This window comes from Homo sapiens, chromosome 1 (genome assembly GCF_000001405.40).
Source record: "Homo sapiens chromosome 1, GRCh38.p14 Primary Assembly".
Classification (NCBI taxonomy): Eukaryota; Metazoa; Chordata; class Mammalia; order Primates; family Hominidae; genus Homo; species Homo sapiens.
In genome coordinates, this window is record NC_000001.11 from 223,364,629 (window position 1) to 223,371,168 (window position 6,540).

The following is a 6,540-nucleotide window of genomic DNA, read 5'->3' on the forward strand; positions in this document are numbered from 1 at the left end:
AGGTGCCCGCCCCGGCCTCCGCGCGGCCTCTGGTGCCCCCAGCCCGCGGCGCGGCGCGGGAGAGCGCTCCGCCCTAGAACTACCGCCGCGGCGGTGGCTGCAGACCCGGGGCGAGTGCGCGGCCGGCAGCTCCCAACCCCAGAACTCTCGCCACAGACCCGGTTAACTTGAGCACCGCCAATTGCCCGAGTCTCTTAATTTCCCGCGTTAACCCCTCCCCGCTCCCATCTCCGCCGAAGCTCTGCGCGTCCCCAGGGAGCCCGAAGGACCATCTGAGGCGGCTGAGAGACACTCTCCCCCTCCCCCACACCCTTGGTATTTTCCCTCTGCCAGCCGCAGGTGTTGCGAGTGAGGACCCCTGTCCGGTCTTGGAGATGCGCGGGGCCCTCGGAGCCTTGGCCTGGGAGGCGCTCCCGGGGGCGGGGAGGCGGGGGTAGCGGGTGATTGGTGACACGCAGAAGGTTGGGTACCTGGAGGAGGGGAGGCTTCCGGGGTCGTAGATGGGAAGCCAAGGGGGTCGGTGGTAATTGCCCTCCCAGCCCCAAGTGGAGAGAGTTGGCCTGGTCGGTCCCCTGTCTCTGCGCCGATTCTGGTGTCGGAGCTCAGCCCGCAGTGGTTGCAGCTCTCACTCGCCGCCGGCTCTGATCGCCCGCGGTCGGTTTCAAGATAGGGAAGCCCACATTCCAGCCACAGTGATTAAGAGGTGTCAGCTAATGAGGTGGCGTCCACCGGCAGCGCTTTAGAGCCAGTGACACTCCATGATTCTGTAGCAATTTGTGGATATGAAAACTATGTTCCTGATACAGCTACTAAATCATCCTTTGCTTCTATCGACTTTCCCAAAATCTCACATACTGATGGTAGTTGGGAAATTACAGCTTTTATACTGTGTCAGCTCTTACTGGGAGTAATTTTAACACATTCTTTCAGGATAGATTAGCTTTTAGTAGATAAGTCAAGCTCCGTTATTTTGTTTTTTGCTTTTGCGTGTGTGTGAAATTGAGATGGCAGCTTTGCACAAAATAAACAAGATGTTGACTAGCACAAGTCCAGTTTTGCTACAGCTTGTACTTTGGGACCCCAAAATCTTAGTAGGGGACCATCCACCTTCCCAAGGTCCTGTGACTGTCCTCTACAGTTTGTATATTTATTCCATTTTTCTTTCTTAGTAAATTTTCTAAATCTTTTTAAATATCCACCAAATCAACAACGGTCAGAAATATTTGTTGACCATGCACATGTTCTTAACAATTATAAGAGATATATCTAAGTGCCATTGAAATCTGTTCTTTGGCTGGAGTACAATCTAATTTTAACAGAGAATGTTGGGACTGAAAGGAACATTCAAGTTTATCTGATCCAAACATGGGATCTATGCTTGAGTTTCCTCTCTGACATTTCTAATAAGTGGTCATTCAGCCTCACTGAATACTCATCAAGGTAGCCTGTTTATATTTGCCAGCAGGTCTCTTAGAAAAGTCTTTCTTATATTGAACTGAAATCTACTTCCCTGAAACCTTTACCCACTGATTCTGGCTCTCCTCTGTGGGCCCACGCAGCTAAATAGAATTCCTCTTTCTTAAGAGAGCATCTCATGGCTTTGGAGATGGCTTCGTGTTCCCTTGAGTCTTCTCTTCTCTGGGTCACGCATAGCCATTTCCTTCAGTGCGACGATTCCCAGACTTTTCACCAGCCTGTGGCCTTTCTCTGACCCAGTTTCTCAATGATATCCACCCCCAGCAATCAAAGTTTGTTTCCAGAAAGAGGCCCTACTTTCCCTCTGTGGGTTCTGACCAGTACAGGCCGGTACTGTTGCTTTCTGTATTTTAAACAACTTGCTTCTATTAATTCAGCTGAAGAAGACAAGCATTTGGAGGGCAACTACAGCATAACATATTGTTATTATTATTATTATTTTTAATTATTGTTATACTTTAAGTTTTAGGGTACACGTGCACAATGTGCACGTTAGTTACATATGTATACACGTGCCATGCTGGTGCGCTACACCAACTCGTCATCTAGCATTAGGTATATCTCCCAATGCTATCTCTCCCCGCCCCCCACCCCACAACAGTCCCCAGAGTGTGATGTTCCCCTTCCTGTGTCCATGTGTTCTCATTGTTCAATTCCCACCTATGAGTGAGAATATGCAGTGTTTGGTTTTTTGTTCTTGCGATAGTTTACTGAGAATGATGATTTCCAATTTCATCCATGTCCCTACAAAGGACGTGAACTCATCATTTTTTATGGCTGCATAGTATTCCATGGTGTATATGTGCCACATTTTCTTAATCAAGTCTATCATTGTTGGACATTTGGGTTGGTTCCAAGTCTTTGCTATTGTGAATAGTGCCGCAATAAACATACGTGTGCATGTGTCTTTATAGCAGCATGATTTATAGTCCTTTGGGTATATACCCAGTAGTGGGATGGCTGGGTCAAATGGTATTTCTAGTTCTAGATCCCTGAGGAACCACCACACTGCCTTCCACAATGGTTGAACGGGTTTACAGTCCCACCAACAGTGTAAAAGTGTTCCTATTTCTCCACATCCTCTCCAGCACCTGTTGTTTCCTGACTTTTTAATGATTGCCATTCTAACTAGTGTGAGATGGTATCTCATTGTGGTTTTGATTTGCAATTCTCTGATGGCCAGTGATGGTGAGCATTTTTTCATGTGTTTTTTGGCTGCATAAATGTCTTCTTTTGAGAAGTGTCTGTTCATGTCCTTTGCCCACTTTTTGATGGGGTTGTTTGTTTTTTTCTTGTAAATTTGTTGGAGTTCATTGTAGATTCTGGATATTAGCCCTTTGTCAGATGAGTAGGTTGTGGAAATTTTCTCCCATTTTGTGGGTTGCCTGTTCACTCTGATGGTAGTTTCTTTTGCTGTGCAGAAGCTCTTTAGTTTAATTAGATCCCATTTGTCAATTTTGGCTTTTGTTGCCATTGCTTTTGGTGTTTTAGACATGAAGTCCTTGCCCATGCCTATGTCCTGAATGGTAATGCCTAGGTTTTCTTCTAGGGTTTTGATGGTTTTAGGTCTAACATTTAAGTCTTTAATCCATCTTGAATTGATTTTTGTATAAGGTGTAAGGAAGGGATCCAGTTTCAGCTTTCTACATATGGCTAGCCAGTTTTCCCAGCACCATTTATTAAATAGGGAATCCTTTCCCCATTGCTTGTTTTTCTCAGGTTTGTCAAAGATCAGATAGTTGTAGATACGCAGCGTTATTTCTGAGGGCTCTGTTCTGTTCCATTGATCTATATCTCTGTTTTGGTACCAGTACCGTGCTGTTTTGGTTACTGTAGCCTTGTAGTATAGTTTGAAGTCAGGTAGTGTGATGCCTCCAGCTTTGTTCTTTTGGCTTAGGATTGACTTGGCGATGCGGGCTCTTTTTTGGTTTCATATGAACTTTAAAGTAGTTTTTTCCAATTCTGTGAAGAAAGTCATTGGTAGCTTGATGGGGATGGCATTGAATCTATAAATTACCTTGGGCAGTATGGCCATTTTCATGATATTGATTCTTCCTACCCATGAGCATGGAATGTTCTTCCATTTGTTTGTATCCTCTTTTATTTCATTGAGCAGTGGTTTGTAGTTCTCCTTGAAGAGGTCCTTCACATCCCTTGTGAGGTGGATTCCTAGGTATTTTATTCTCTTTGAAGCAATTGTGAATGGGAGTTCACTCATGATTTGGCCCTCTGTTTGTCTGTTATTGGTGTATAAGAATGCTTGTGATTTTTATACATTGATTTTGTATCCTGAGACTTTGCTGAAGTTGCTTATCAGCTTAAGGAGATTTTGGGCTGAGACAATGGGGTTTTCTAGGTATACAATCATGTCGTCTGCAAACGGGGACAATTTGACTTCCTCTTTTCCTAATTGAATACCCTTTATTTCCTTCTCCTACCTAATTGCCCTGGCCAGAACTTCCAAAACTATGTTGAATAGGAGTGGTGAGAAAGGGCATCCCTGTCTTGTGCCAGTTTTCAAAGGGAATGCTTCCAGTTTTTGCCCATTCAGTATGATATTGGCTGTGGGTTTGTCATAGATAGCTCTTATTCTTTTGAGATATGTCCCATCAATACCTAATTTATTGAGAGGTTTTAGCATGAAGCGTTGTTGAATTTTGTCTAAGGCCTTTTCTGCATCTATTGAGATAATCATGTGGTTTTTGTCTTTGGTTCTGTTTATATGCTGGATTACATTTATTGATTTGCGTATATTGAACCAGCCTTGCATCCCAGGGATGAAGCCCACCTGATCATAGTGGATAAGCTTTTTGATGTGCTGCTGGATTCGGTTTGCCAGTATTTTATTGAGGATTTTTGCATCAATGTTCATCAAGGATATTGGTCTAAAATTCTCTTTTTTGGTTGTGTCTCTGCCCGGCTTTGGTATCAGGATGATGGTGGCCTCATAAAATGAGTTAGGGAGGATTCCCTCTTTTTCTATCGATTGGAATAGTTTCAGAAGGAATGGTACCAGTTCCTCCTTGTACCTCAGGTAGAATTCAGCTGTGAATCCATCTGGTCCTGGACTCTTTTTGGTTGGTAAGCTATTGATTACTGCCTCAATTTCAGCTCCTGTTATTGGTCTATTCAGAGATTCAACTTCTTCCTGGTTTAGTCTTGGGAGAGTGTATGTGTCGAGGAATTTATCCATTTCTTCTAGATTTTCTAGTTTATTTGCATAGAGGTGTTTGTAGTAATCTCTGATGGTAATTTGTATTTCTGTGGGATCAGTGGTGATATCCCCTTTATCATTTTTTATTGCGTCTATTTGATTCTTCTCTCTTTTTTTCTTTATTAGTCTTGCTAGCAGTCTATCAATTTTGTTGATCCTTTCAAAAAACCAGCTCCTGGATTCATTGATTTTTTGAAGGGTTTTTTGTGTCTCTATGTCCTTCAGTTCTGCTCTGATTTTAGTTATTTCTTGCCTTCTGCTAGCTTTTGAATATGTTTGCTCTTGCTTTTCTAGTTCTTTTAATTGTGATGTTAGGGTGTCGATTTTGGATCTTTCCTGCTTTCTCTTGTGGGCATTTAGTGCTATAAATTTCCCTCTACACACTGCTTTGAATGTGTCCCAGAGATTCTGGTATGTCGTGTCTTTGTTCTTGTTGGTTTCAAAGAACATCTTTATTTCTGCCTTCATTTCATTATGTACCTAGTAGTCATTCAGGAGCAGGTTGTTCAGTTTCCATGTAGTTGAGCAGTGTTGAGTGAGTTTCTTAATCCTGAGTTCTAGTTTGATTGCACTGTGGTCTGAGAGATAGTTTGTTATAATTTCTGTTCTTTTACATTTGCTGAGGAGAGCTTTACTTCCAACTATGTGGTCAATTTTGGAATAGGTGTGGTGTGGTGCTGAAAAAAATGTATATTCTGTTGATTTGGGGTGGAGAATTCTGTATATGTCTATTAGGTCTGCTTGGTGCAGAGCTGAGTTCGATTCCTGGGTATCCTTGTTAACTTTCTGTCTCGTTGATCTGTCTAATGTTGACAGTGGGGTGTTAAAGTCTCCAATTATTAATGTGTGGGAGTCTAAGTCTCTTTGTAGGTCACTCAGGACTTGCTTTATGAATCTGGGTGCTCCTGTATTGGGTGCATATATATTTAGGTTAGTTAGCTCTTCTTGTTGAATTGATCCCTTTACCATTATGTAATGGCCTTCTTTGTCTCTTTTGATCTTTGTTGGTTTAAAATCTGTTTTATCAGAGACTAGGATTGCAAACCCTGCCTTTTTTAGTTTCCCATTTGCTTGGTAGATCTTCCTCCATCCTTTTATTTTGAGCCTATGTGTGTCTCTGCATGTGAGATGGGTTTGCTGAATACAGCACACTGATGGGTCTTGACTCTTTATCCAATTTGCCAGTCTGTGTCTTTTAATTGGAGCATTTAGTCCATTTACATTTAAAGTTAATATTGTTATGTGTGAATTTGATCCTGTCATTATGATGTTAGCTGGTTATTTTGCTCCTTAGTTGATGCAGTTTCTTCCTAGTCTCGATGGTCTTTATATTTTGGCATGATTTTGCAGCGGCTGGTACCGGTTGTTCCTTTCCATGTTTGGTGCTTCCTTCAGGAGCTCTTTTAGGGCAGGCTTGGTGGTGACAAAATCTCTCAGCATTTGCTTGTCTGTAAAGGATTTTATTTCTCCTTCACTTATGAAGCTTAGTTTGGCTGGATATGAAATTCTGGGTTGAAAATTCTTTTCTTTAAGAATGTTAAATATTGGCCCCCACTCTGTTCTGTCTCATAGAGTTTCTGCCGAGAGATCAGCTGTTAGTCTGATGGGTTTCCCTTTGTGGGTAACCCGACCTTTCTCTCTGGCTGCCCTTAACATTTTTTCCTTCATTTCAACTTTGGTGAATCTGACAATTATGTGTCTTGGAGTTGATCTTCTCGAGGAGTATCTCTGTGGCGTTCTCTGTATTTCCTGAATCTGAATGTTGGTCTGCCTTGCTAGATTGGGGAAGTTCTCCTGGATAATATCCTGCAGAGTGTTTTCCAACTTGGTTCCATTCTCCCTGTCACTTT

General features: G+C 42.5%; 1 protein-coding gene across 1 annotated transcript in view; it reads right to left on the reverse strand.

Moving 5' to 3' along the window:
- SUSD4 (sushi domain containing 4) overlaps nt 1-607 on the reverse strand; it is a 144,405-nt gene extending 143,798 nt beyond the window's left edge. The window contains exon 1 of the mRNA XM_024447936.2: nt 471-607. The gene's annotated coding sequence lies outside the window, so the exon portion shown is untranslated. The remainder of the gene's footprint in view (nt 1-470) is intronic.
- Between the last annotated feature and the right edge of the window lie 5,933 nt (nt 608-6,540).